Here is a 13,961-nt window from a genome sequence, read left to right as displayed (position 1 = left end):
ATTGGACAGGCCTTGTTTTGAGTCCTGATAGTTTTTTACCTGCGAAGAAAATAATCTTTAGTATACTTTGTAATCTCTCTAATCAATGGTATAGCTTATTTGGAAATAATGTCCCCACTGTAGAATTTCATGAGAAGGATGAGGGAAAAAAATACACATGAAGTGACTTAGCACATGATAAATGATTTCAATCCTCCTTCAATTTCTGGATCTATATAAAATATACATACATACTCCATTTACCCTGCCTTCATGTAATGCTGATTTGTTATAATTCTATTCATTTTTTCAAGCTTTACTTTAAATATAAATAAATTCTTTTTCAACACAGTGCATTTTCTTCATGTACTCTGAGTGATATATTTTTTCTCAATCAGTGAAAAGAAATTCTACCATTCTGTTGTAAATTAAATTGTTTCTGCAACATATGTCACTCTACTGCAGCCCCTCTTTATTTTGTGTTCTATCAAACTGTTTTGAACCCTTAATGTATGACAAAAACATGTGTCTTAGTCTGTTTTGTGTTGCTGTAACAGAATATCTGAGGCTGGGTAATTTATAAAGAAAAGTAGCTTATTTAGATCATGGTTCTGCAGGCTGGGAAATTCAAGAATGGTGCCAGTGCCTATGCAACTTCTGATGAGGGCTTTTGTGCTGTGTCATAACATGGGGGAAGGTCAAAGGGGAAATGGGCATGTATGAAGAAGCAAAATCCGAGAGGCATCCTGCATTGTAACAACCTACCTATGCAGGAAGGAATCCACTCTCACAAGAACTAATCCAGTCTCACCAGAGCAAGAAGTAACTTCCTAGTATGAGAACAGCATGTCACCAAGTCATTGATTAGGAATCCATCCTAACAGCCCACACACCTTTCTTTAGGCCCACCTCCCGATACCATCACATTGGGGATCAAATTCAACATGAGTTTGGTGGGAACAAACTATCTCTATAACATAGCACTGTGCAAATAAAAGCTTTGGAGCTCACTCAGGTAAATAAGGCAATCACATAATGCTGAACATTAATATGCTAGTTTTATGGTGACGGAAGTGGCCTGTAAGTCAATTAGTAAGGAAATAAATAATAAAATCTATCCCAGCACTTAGGAATAGGTGGACATTTTCTGACTTTATGAAGGCACCATAAACTGATCAATTTTATGAAACGAGCTAAAAGACACTCTTATGGCAGGCAGGTTATGACGTTAGAGTCTTAAAGAGAATAGAAGATAACTGGACAAGATAATTCTGAGGACAAATATCTGCTATAGCTGAACAAATCTCTGCTATAATAGTGTTATGTAGCACTAATTCAGTTGGGGTTCTCATTTTCAAAAACGCGTCTTCCAAACTAGAGAGTGCTGGGTATAGTTTTTTTTTTTTTTTGGTTGACTTGCTGCTGCAAATGAGGTCATAAGGAGGAAACGTAGCTATAAGAAATGTACTCCCAGCTTCAGGATACGAATGCCAGAAAGAACTTCAATCTGAATCAATGCATACAGAGTCATGTAAAATAATGAAATTATATTTTAGTATGACTATGAAGAGTTGCATGACCACCCAACCTCTCAGTAAACCAAGTTATCTTTCTTGTAATATGGAGCTTTGTTTATACTTCTATTTCAGAAACTATTTATTTCAATTAAAACAAAAATTGTAACTTACTTATGTTTTCCTGCAGCAAGTAGCACCAGAAAAAAAGTCCTCAAGAGGTATTTGTTGAGCTGAACTAAACACAGGAAGATAGGCTATAGGAACTCAGATTTTTCTGACCCAAAGGTGAGATATATATACATATATATATATGTGTGTGTGTGTATATATATATACACACCACACATATATATACACACATACATATATATGTGTGTATAAATCTCACCTTTGGGTCAGAAAAGCATATATATATGTGTGTGTGTATATATATATATATATATATATATAGAGAGAGAGAGAGAGAGAGAGAGAGAGAGAGAGAGAGAGTGTCAAACTCTCGCTCTGTGGCCCAGGCTGGAGTGCAGTGGCACCATCTCAACTCACTGCAACTTCCACATCCCGGGTTCAAGCGATTCTCCTACCTCAGCCTCTAGAGTAGCTGGGATTACAGGCACATGCTAATTTTTGTATTTTTTAGTAGAGGTGGGGTTTCACCATGTTGGCTAGGCTAGTCTAAAACTCCTGACCTCAGGCGATCTACTCGCCTCAGCCTCCCAAAGTGCTGGGAGGCATGAGCCTCTGTGCCTGACCTATAATTTCTTTCTATCACAACTTTATACCATATAGAAATATTTGAGTATAAACATCAAAGAGTTATTCTCCAATTTTACTAACTCAGAAAAAAATTTGCCATTATGCCAAGAAGAATTTTTATAAATTACATAAGAACTTTATGACCAAATCTAGTGAGACAATAAGCTACATCCAATAAATTGATTGAGGAACCTTGTTTTAGGGTATACATTTTTAAAAAATATATACATATATAAACATACACACATACAGTTTAGATACAGTGTAATATTTTCTGGAGGAAAATGAAATGACTGATTTCTTTTTAAATTAATGTAACATGCCTATTAAATTATTTGGGAGAGTAAATAAGATATAAAAATATATGTATCCCCCATGTTCACACTACCAAAGACAACCATTGGGCCAAATTCTATCTTCATATTGTTCACTTTCACATTGTGACATTACTAATTCTATTCATGCCCCAATTCTTTGTTTTTTTAAATACTATTTTTTATTTTCTTCATGACTATTCTGTCTAATTTAAGGCGTAATCCTTGTTACTCTATATGACGTATGATATTGGTTTATCTTAAATTTGAAAACTAATGATCCCTAGATCAGGCTCAAACTATTTCTTTCAAAAATTATTCACTGCTTAGCATCTGCAGAAAATTGTATGAGATGTTAGAAATGCAGCATGAAAAAAGCAAATATAGAGTCTTCCATCATGGAGCTTATATTCTTAAAATATACACAATCATTAATTACTTAGGAAGAATGACAGATAATAATGAAGTCATATAACAGGGAACTAACATTCAATTGAACTCTAAAGGGTAAATAGAAGATATCTAGATTAATACGGAAGAGAGGAATCACATTCATGAAGCGTATATGTGAAGGACCTGATGTAGGAAAAAGCAAGTCACAATCAAGACACCAATAGAAGACCAGAGTGGTTCAAAAAGAGAGAGAATGCAGGAATCGTGATCAAAGGTTACATGGGTAGGAAGTAGATAACTCAGAATGAGGACAACATGAACAATGTGAAGTCACCGAGGGATTTTAAGCAGGGAACTCATGTGGCATATCAGATTTTCATCTTCATAGACTCATTCTAACTGTTTTGAGAGGGAGAATTTCATGTCTAGTAATATGACAAACTAGTTAACCATAGAAAAATTCCTCCTGGTTCAGGGAACTAAATTGCTTTATAACTTATTTAAAACTTTTTAAAGCATGTCTGAGCTTATGAGAAAGTAAGAGACTTTCTCCAATGCTAAAATAGAAATGCAAATTCATACGAGAAAATGAAATCGAGAACCCCATTTGTCCTTAAAGATACAGGCCAATTCTTAACACCCTGATGGTGAGTCTTAGAGATCCATGCACAGGTCAGTATATCTAAGCACAGTGGGGAATCATTGGAATACCTACATAAAGACAGAATCCTTGAAGGATGAACTAGAAAAAAAAAATCTACTACATTTGAGGTATACTAACATCTCTTCCCTTTGGATGTGTGGCTACAGATAGAAAAATATTTCTCCCCTGAGAATCCTTAAGATGACCAAAATATGTGACTAAAATCTACACTATCTAAAAAACTCAAGTTGAAATTTGGGTTGTAATTATCCCATAGCTTACCAGAAACATTCTCAGCTCCTCCCAGGAAAATCACACTGAAAAATGTGACTGCAGGCCACCTTCCATAGAACCAAAATTCATAATGAAATATAATCACGAAACACATGGGGAAATAAGCCACTCCAAAATCAACAGGAATAATGAACTGAACAATCAGAAAATCAAATACTGCAGATGTTGGAATTATCAGATGTAGAATATAAAATATCTGTTTTCATATTCTAAATGAATTGAAATACAGAACTAAAAGCAATAAACAAGGGCCTCAATGTGAGCAAATAAATAGACACTTGTTTAACGACAATCTACAAAAAGATAATACATGCAGTGTTGAAAACTAAAAATTTTCCATTAAAATAATAAACAACGATGGTTATGGTGGCTCATGCCTATAATTCTAGCGCTTTTGGAGGCCAAGGGGGGAGGATTACTTGAGCTCAGGAGTTCCAGATCAGCCTGGACAATTTAGTGAGATCTCATCTATACAAAAAAATAAAAAATAAAAAACAGCAGCAGTGGTATGTTCTTGTAGTCCAATTGTAGTCCAAGCTACTCAGACGGCTGAGGCGAAAGGACTGCTTGAGCCCAGGAGGTTCAGTGAGCTATAATGGCACCACTGCACTCTAGCCTGGATCACAGAATGTGACCTTGTCAAAAAAACGACAAAATCGGCAAGCCACCACTATAGCTATTTTCATCCAACATTTTATGGAAGGTACTAGCCTGTACAATAAGAAAAGAAAAAGAAATACACAACTTGAATACTTGGAAAGGAAGAAGCAAGACTGTCATTATTTGCAAATGATGTGCTTGTCAATATAGAAGCCCAAAGGAATCTACAGATAAACTTAAAATAGGCCAGGTGTGGTGGCTCACACCTGTAATCCCAGCACTTTGGGAGGTGGAGGCTGGCGGATCACCTGAGGTCAGGAGTTCGAGACCAGCCTGGCCAACGTGGCGAAACCCCATCTTTACAGAAAGTACAAAAATTAGCTGGATGTGGTGGTGGGCACCTGTAATCCCAGTTACTCAGGAGGCTGAGGCAGGAGAATCGCTTGAACCTGGAAGGGGGAGGTTGCAGTGAGCCAAGATCATGCCACTGCACTCCAGCCTGTGTGACAAGAGTGAGACTCCGTCTAAAAAAAAGAAAAAAAATTTAAAATAATGCAAGAGTTTAGAAACTTTGCTGAATACAAAATTAATATAAAAATCATTTTATCTTTATATATTATCAAACACTAGGAAATGAAATTCAAATATGCCATTTATAATAGTGAAACAAAATCCATATTAAATGAATAAACATAACAAAAATATGCAAGACCTTGAGGTAAAATACATGTAACTTTACTAAGTCATTTAAAACATACGACATTTTGGAGTAAAAACCCAATATAACAAAATTGCTAATTTTCCTCAAATCGATCTATAGATTTGATGAAATTGCAAAGCAAAATGTAATGTATAATTCAAAGAACTGACTCTAAAAGATTTAAGGAATAGCAAAGAGCTAAGAGAAGCCAAAACACTGCTGTAGAGAATGAACAGGTAAGATTTTTTTGATATTAATTAAAATAGTTGTGGTATAAGTATGGAATAGATCAAAGGGACGGAGAGAGCCCAGAAAAAGATTCAAACATGGCAACATGTTTTATAATATGGCTGACAATGCCAATCAGCAGGAAAATGCTAAAATATTCAAAATATAGTGTTGGAACAATTTGTTATGTACATGGAAGGGAAAGTTATAAAATATTTCTAATATATACAGAATTCAATTTCAGCTTCATCAAAGATTTAAATTTAAAAAGTAGATTTTTTAGACTTTTAGAAGAAAATAGAGAATTTGGGGTAGACTTTAAATATTTTAGGATTTCTGTCCAGGCGCAGTGGCTCAAGTCTGTGATCCCAGCACTCTGGGAGGCTGAGGCAGGCGGATCACGAGGTTAGGGGATCGAGACCATCCTGGCTACTACAGTGAAACATTGTCTCTACTAAAAATATAAAAAATTAGTTGGGCATGGTGGCAGGCGCCTGTAGTCCCAGCTACACGGGAGGCTGAGGCAGGAGAATGGCGTGAACCTGAGAGGCAGAGCTTGCAGTGAGCCGAGATGGCGCCACTGCACTCCAGCCTGGGTGACAGAGCAAGACTTCATCTCAAAAAAATATATATATGTATAAATATGTATATTTATATATATATTAATATATATTTTATATATCAATATATATTTATATATTTACATATTTATATATAAATATATATATATAAATATATATTTATATATATTTATATATATATCAATATATATTTATATATATTTATATATTTATATATAAATATATATAAATATATATTTATATATTTATATATAAATATATATTTTTATATATTTATATATATTTATATATTTATATTTAAATATATATTTATATATATTTATATATTTATATTTATATATTTATATTTAAATATATATTTATATATATTTATATATTTATATTTAAATATATATATTTATATATTTATATTTAAATATATATATTTATATATTTATATTTAAATATATATTTTTATATATTTATATTTAAATATATATTTTTATATATTTATATTTAAATATATATTTTTATATATTTATATTTATATATATTTATATATATTTATATATATGTATATATTTATATATTTTATATATATTTATATATATATGTATATATATTTATATATTTTTATATATATTTATATATTTATATATATATTTATACATATATTTATACATATATTTATACATATATTTATATATATATTTATATATATATATAGAGAGAGAGAGAGAGAGAGAGAGAGTAGGATTTCCTAAACAAGAAATAAAAGGCATGAAGTACCCAAAGAAAAAAATTGAGAAAATTTACTACATTAAAATTATGAATGCCTGGCTGTGCACAGCGGCTCACACCTGTAATCTGTGCACTTTGGGAGGCCGAGATGAGTGGATCACTTGAGCCTGGGAGTTCTGAGACCAGCCTGGGCAACATGGCAAAACTGCATCTCTACATAAAAATACAAAATTAGGTGAGTGTGGTGGTGTGCGGCTGTAGTCCCACCTACTCAGGAGGCTGAGGTGGGAGGATGCCTTGTGCCTGGGAGGCAGGGGTTGCAGTGAGCTGAGATCAAGCCACTGCACTCCAGCCTGGGTGACAGGATGAGACCTTGCCCACCCACCAAAAAAAAGAATGTCTGCTAATTAAAGTACAGCATCAAAATAATATAAAGAAGAGCCATTTAATGGGAGAAGACATTTGCAACACATGTACCTGAAACAATATTTCTTTCCAGAATTTAGAAATGATTGCTACACACCAGTAAGATGAGATAGAAATTTAATTTTTCAGATGGGTGAAGGACTTGAAAAACCTCTTCACAAAAGAAAAAATATAAATTTGCCATTAAACATATGGAATAGTGGGCAACCTCATTAGTAATGAGAATAATTCAGAATAATACTCAATAAGTTACCAATTCATAGACACAAAGTTAGCAAAAATTAAAAATTCAGACATTCTTAGTGTTCATAAATATGTAAAGCAATGATAATCCTATATACTGTTGATTGAAAATGTGCTGAATCTGTAATCCATCATTTGTCAAAAAGAAGCTATTACACAACATTTGTTACACTGTTATTTTTAACAGAAGAAAAAACAAAACAAAACTAGAAAGAACTTGAAGTCCTTCAGCAGTAAAGTGAACACAGGACGCGTGGAATAGTCACAAGAGAAAATCATATGCCAATGAAAATCATTTTTAGTAACTTTATCAACAAAAGTTTAACTAACAAAATGCTATTGTTATAGAGTATGATCTCATGATTTTACTTTATATAAAGTTTTTAAAAACGCAGCTGAAAAAATTAGCCAGGTGTGGTAGCGCATGCTTGTAGTCCCAGCTACTTGAGATGCTGAGACTGGAGGATCACTTGAGCCGGGGAGTTTCAGGCTACAGTGAACTATTAATATGTTCATGCCACTGCACTCCAGCCTGGGCAACAGAGCAAGACCCCTTCTCCGAAAAAAAAAAAAAAAATACAGCTGAGCAATTTCTTGTTCAGAGATACAGATATATGTAATCTATTGCAATGGTTATTAACACAACAGTCTAAAAAGTGGTCACTTCTGGCAAGAGTGGTGGCCGAGGAGGACAATTTTGGCAGGGTTACTCAGAGCCGTTCAACGGTGTTCGTAATGGTGTAATGCATGATAGTTACGTTGGTGTTCATTTTATTATTTTTTATAGTATATGCACATATTTGGTACTATTATTATATATTAATTATAATATGTGTTATAATGTGTGTTAAAACTTCTATAGATAAAACATATTTCACAATTTTAAAATATCTTTTTTTACAAAGGAAGAAAGAATACACAGAAATGGATGATATTTGAAATTTTAAAAAATCACTTGATAACCTATTGAAATTTTATAGGAAAAAGATAATGATGTCTTGTTCTGTTGGAGACAGAAAAGAATTAATTACTAAAGAAATATGTAGGGTTTTTAAAAAATTGACAGTGTTTGTTTGTTGTTTTCATATTGTGATTGAGGCTGTGTTTTAATAATAATTTCTAGTTTATTAACTTGTCCAACTTAGTGGATTTTGAAAGCATTTACAAGAATATTGAATAAGTATGTTGGTTTAGGGAGGCATTTTTTACTTATATGCCTCAGATAACTTGGACTAAATACATAATTAGCTCAGTAAATATTTGCCAAATAAATTAGATTAAAGTTTTGGAGAAGATGTAATCTTACTCATCTATAGTTAGAATTGACAATCTTAATTTTAGTAGTTTGAAGTACTTTTGTAGAGTCCATATGTTATACTTATTTGCATGTGCAAACAAATATGCAAATGTATTCTCATACTTGAAGCTTATGCAAGTTACTGATTTATTTCGTCTTATCTCCAAACCTATGCATTTTTACCCTGCTCTGTGATACTCTCAATGGACCTTGTAAATATTCTTCTTTGCAGCTGGAACAATGTTAAGCTTTCTTAGATGGCACTGGAGAGACCCTGCAGGAGGAGGAAATGACTTTATTTCTGGTACTAGTGTCCTTTATTCTTCCTCCTCCTGCAGCACTTGGCTGATGTGCAAGACACTCACTGGCACTTACCTATAAATGACACTGGCACTCATCTGCAAACGAATTTCAATGGTTCCCAGAGTGTTGTTTCCTGGTGAGTTTTAGTGGTGCCTGTAAGAGTAGCTTTTCAGTGGCTCTCACCAGCACCCTACCAGCCAGTTTTCTGCCTTGTAGCCCTAGCCTACAGCACCTCCAGCAAAATTCTCTGCTATTCAGTGTGCAAAAGCCACCTTTTTAAACAAGATTTGAATCTCAACCATGGTTAGGGGTTGGGGTAGGTCTTCCAAATGTATTTCTTTCTTAGTACTTATGTCTTAGCCCTAGAGGTCATGGCTGTTTCCTAAGATCCCTATTCTTGAATTCTTTAGAGTTTTCTTTACCATAGAGTTTTCTTTATCCCTAGAGTTTTCTTTACCCCCAGAGTTTTCATTATCCCACAGTTTCCTTGACCCCTGCTAGTGAAGAAATTAGTAGTTAATTTCTGTGGCCATATAATAAATCTTTGCGTTAAATTTTCCCATTCAATTTACTCAATGGTTTCTATCTCCTGACTGGATCCTGACTGATACTCAAATCAAATCTCTTTTTGTAATGGGTACTCCTATAATCTTCTAAGAACTACCTGACCTATCACTGCTTATGTATTCATTTCAATCCTAATCCTCTCCACTCAAAGGCTAAACTTAGAATTCTATTTAAATAGCATTTGGGTTTTTTTTTTTTTTTTTGCCATTAAGTATTCAGGTTTTTCACCTTTCACATAATGACTATGACAATTTTCTCTATTGGCAGCAGGCAAATTACCTCTGAAGAGTCCTTTGGAGAAACAGAATATCCAAAATTTCCATTAATTCTTTTTTTTTTTAGATTTAAAAGCATCACATTCTCTTTGAACAATGGAAAAAAAAAAACCAAGGGTAAATAAAAAAAAAACCACCCAATACATTTAGACAAATGATATATTTGTGTGCCACACAGAATAAATGGCTTCAATAATCATAAATGAGTGTCCCTGAAATTAAAACTTTTTTTTTCAAATCAGACTTTATTCTAGGAGATAAGTAAACTACTCATCATCGTCTGACTTTGTCTTCATTTACCACTGTTTTTCTGCTCATTGAAAATGAAAGGCCCCTTTTCTTTCACCTAAATGATTAACGGCGCATTCTAATCAAAGCACTTTTTCTGCATAGTTCACTGCAAGTGTGAGAAATATTGTCAGAAACTAAATGAACCTTTTGGAGTTGACTGATTTCTCCCAATTTTTGTGATATTACCTAACATGTAAATGACAATATTTTTTAAAAAGAAAAGAAAAGTAGAAAACTTGCACCAAGTAGTTTTGGATTTCTGCTACACATTTGCAAGGCATCCAAAACACAATCTAAATAAGTTACTTTTAGATTTTTCCTGATAAAATCTCTTGCATTTATAAGGCCTTAACAAAATATATTATAAGGAAATTAAAATTTTTCTCTTTTTTTAATCGCTCCACTTTCTGTTTGGGCCAAATGTGAAGTTAAGTACGTTCTATGTAACCTACTTCTCTTCCAAACTTATTGTACCATTCTGGCAAACAAAATTTTACATATATTAAATCGAATACATGCTACTGTAATTGTTAAACAGAGAATGAGATGTTGAATGTTCCACCAAATTTTTTATGTATAATTTGGAAGATTAAATGTCATTTCAAAAAATTCACAGAATATATACTTATTGACTAATAATTATGAATATATTATCTCTATTTTATATTTACATGCATATATATTATTTGTGTTTATATCAACACATTCAGAAGCTCACACAAACATGTATGCTTATTTTTATTAAGGGTCACTAAAACAGTTTAGAAAAAGTAAAATCCATGGAATTCATGGATGTTAAACATTGGTATTGAAAGCAAATTGAAATCTTAGGATTATGGTATATTGGAGTCCAATTTGTCTATGATGAAGTATGGATGTTTTTCTTTGTTTTGTTTTATTTCTTTTTAAACCAAGACAGATAGTTCTCTCACTAGAGAAAAGTTAATCCCATGGTAGTACAGAATTCAGAAAAGGTTTAGACTTAACTAGACAGTCTGGGTTCAATTTTATGTTTGCCCTATGAATTTGGACCAATTAGCTTAGTAGTTTGGGCCTTACTAGCCCCATCTATAATACAGGCAATACTTGTGTTAGGCCATTCTTGCATTGCTATAAAGAAACTCCTGAAGTTGGGTAATTTACGGAGAAAAGAAGTTGAATTGGCCCAAAGGTCTGCTGGCTTTACAGGAAGCATGGTGCTAACATTTGCTCAGCTTATGGCGAGGCCTCAGGAAGCTTATAATCATGGCAGAAGGCAAACAAGGTGCAGGTGACTTGCATGGCAAAAGTGGAAGCAAGGGCGAGCAAGGAGGGAAGTGCCACACACTTTTAAACAAAGAGATCTTGTGAGAACCCACTCACTATCATGAGGACAGCACCAAGGGGACGGCGCTAAACCGTTCATGGGAAATCACCCCCCATGATCCAATCACCTTCCAACAGGCCCCATCTCGAACACTGGGGATTACATTTCAACATGAGATTTGGAGGGAACATTCAAACTATATCAATACCCACCTCAGACTGTTGGATGGACTAAATTAGGTGATGCATGTAAACCACAGAGTTCAAATCTAATAACAATATAGGTTACTTTCTTTGTCTATTATAGGCTTTTAATCTCATCTCCAGCACTTAGAGAAGCATTTGGTGCAAAAGCAATTGTGGTTTTTGCCATTGAAAGTAATGGCAAAAACCGCAATTACTTTTGCACCAACCTAATATACAATCAAAAAACCTTTCTAAGATGGGATAGAAAGCCCAAGACTTCGGCAATTATAGTATATTTTGCCTTTTAAGGTCCATCTAGGGATGGCTCACACAAATGAAATTATAATCATCAATTTTTGATGATGAATTCTTGTTGCCAAGTAGTGATAAGACCTGATAAATTTAGAATGGACTGAAGAAATGGAGCAAAACATAGGTCACTTTAGAATCTTATAGATTTCCCTGAATATTATTGGAGTACAATAAACATACAGAAAAATGTGCAGCCTGATGGATTTTCATACATTGAGCACCCTCGAATAACCAACACAAAGGCCAGACAGCAAACACTGCAAAAACCCCAGAAGTCCCCATTCATTTCCTTCCAGCCACTGATCCCCGTCCCACCCCAAGGACAAGCACTATCCAGGATTCTAATGGCAGAGATTAGTTTTGAGAATAAGTTCCATTAAAATTTTTTTCAGCTTTCTAGTCATTTAAGACCTTTATTCAACAAATATTTATTTGGTCACTTTTAATGTTCCAGGAATGATACTGGATATACTCTAGTGAATAAGATAACATAGTCTCTTCCCTCATGGAACTTATGATCTAGTAAGTTAGAAAATGGCGAAGTAAAAAAATAAAAATAAAAAAGCAATTCTCGCCCAATAATATGCCTTTATGGAGTCAAAAATCTAGATGTATTTAGATACCTATAAATTTACTTATTGATACCTATAAATTACTAGTGATTTGGCATTCTCCAGATCAGCAGTTGATTATCTTTTTCACAACAGACTTAACACTAAGGCATTATCTCTGTAAATTCTATTTAGAATCCACAGTAAATTTAAAAACTTTTATGAGCAAACAAGCAGGTATTTTAGTAAAATTATAAACTGATTAAGAAAAAGCAGGGAAATGTAGGACCATGATATTTTCTGTAGCTCATCATATTCAGTTATGTTCTATGCAGTACAAGCTGCATCATAAGTTGATAATGTTCTTCAATAAATATTTGAAAGTCACATAAGTCTAGAATATGGTGAATTATACAAAGATAAACAGGTTTTAAGTAAATTACAGAATTTTACATAGCTTTTAATGTTAATATTATTTCTGATTATCCAAGGGTGAAGGGATTATATGTATAATTTTCCAAGCATATTATATTAAATCACAGAAAACATTTCTTCATGAGCCATCTTCTTAAAACAAAATTCTAGGAGAAAGATAATGTAGCATAATGGTTGTAGGGGCAGAAAGATATGATACCTTTCCTCACTCATCACAAATGTCATGGCCAACACTCATATAACAAAAGACAGCTTAACAAGAGAAAACAGCAACATATTTATTTAATCAAGGTTTTATGTGCCATAGGAGCCTTCAGAAAGGCCGTTTAGATTCTTCTTGGCCCCTCTGTGTAGCTTTCTTTTGCTCTGGGTATAGGGTAGAACACTTGTCACGTGAAAGTCTTCAGCACAGAAGGAAGAATTTTAGAGTGACCATTTTAGGTTTTATGGCTTGCTTTGGGAAGAAGAGTTCTAGTTTCTGTGGACCTTGGGCAAGAGGAATTTTGTCTTCTGTGACTTGTCTTGGGAGAAAAAAAGAGGCTGAGACACCTTGCTTCTGAGACTCTTCTAGTATACAGTTCAAAGTACTCAGCATACCAAGGTACTATCATTGGGAGGATTGTGTTCCAAGCCATGACATAGTTAAGAAAGTGTTTTGGTGCATGACATTTCTGTATTTGAGTATCTCACATAAAACAAAGTCTGAACATTTCTGAGCTATAATTCTATCACCTATAAAATAGAATTAATTATATAAAGCACATAGAATGGTCATCAAAATCAATGAGATACCATAAATAACCTGTTTTTGTATATTCCTTGTTGCAGAGGAGACACATGTATGTGTGGATACGTGTGTATGTCTGCGTATGTGTGTCACAATAAACAGATTAAGCAGATAATAACAGATCTTTAAGAAGATGGAATCCAATCCATATTACATGCAAAATAACTTGTTTTAACCCAGGAATTAGCATATTTAGCATGTTTCAGTGGTATAATATTGAGATGTAAAGGATCAAATTGTAGTTGTAGAAATGTTGTC

At 33.6% G+C, this 13,961-nt stretch overlaps 1 long non-coding RNA gene across 1 annotated transcript in view; it reads right to left on the bottom strand.

The window, feature by feature from the left end:
- LOC105376987 (uncharacterized) overlaps positions 1-13,961 on the bottom strand; it is a 108,868-nt gene continuing 94,907 nt past the window's right edge. The window contains exon 5 of the long non-coding RNA XR_940644.2: positions 1-39. This is a non-coding gene — a long non-coding RNA (uncharacterized LOC105376987). The remainder of the gene's footprint in view (positions 40-13,961) is intronic.

The sequence above is a fragment of the Homo sapiens genome, chromosome 3, assembly GCF_000001405.40.
Source record: "Homo sapiens chromosome 3, GRCh38.p14 Primary Assembly".
NCBI classification, from domain to species: Eukaryota; Metazoa; Chordata; class Mammalia; order Primates; family Hominidae; genus Homo; species Homo sapiens.
This window is presented reverse-complemented; position numbering and strand designations above follow the sequence as displayed.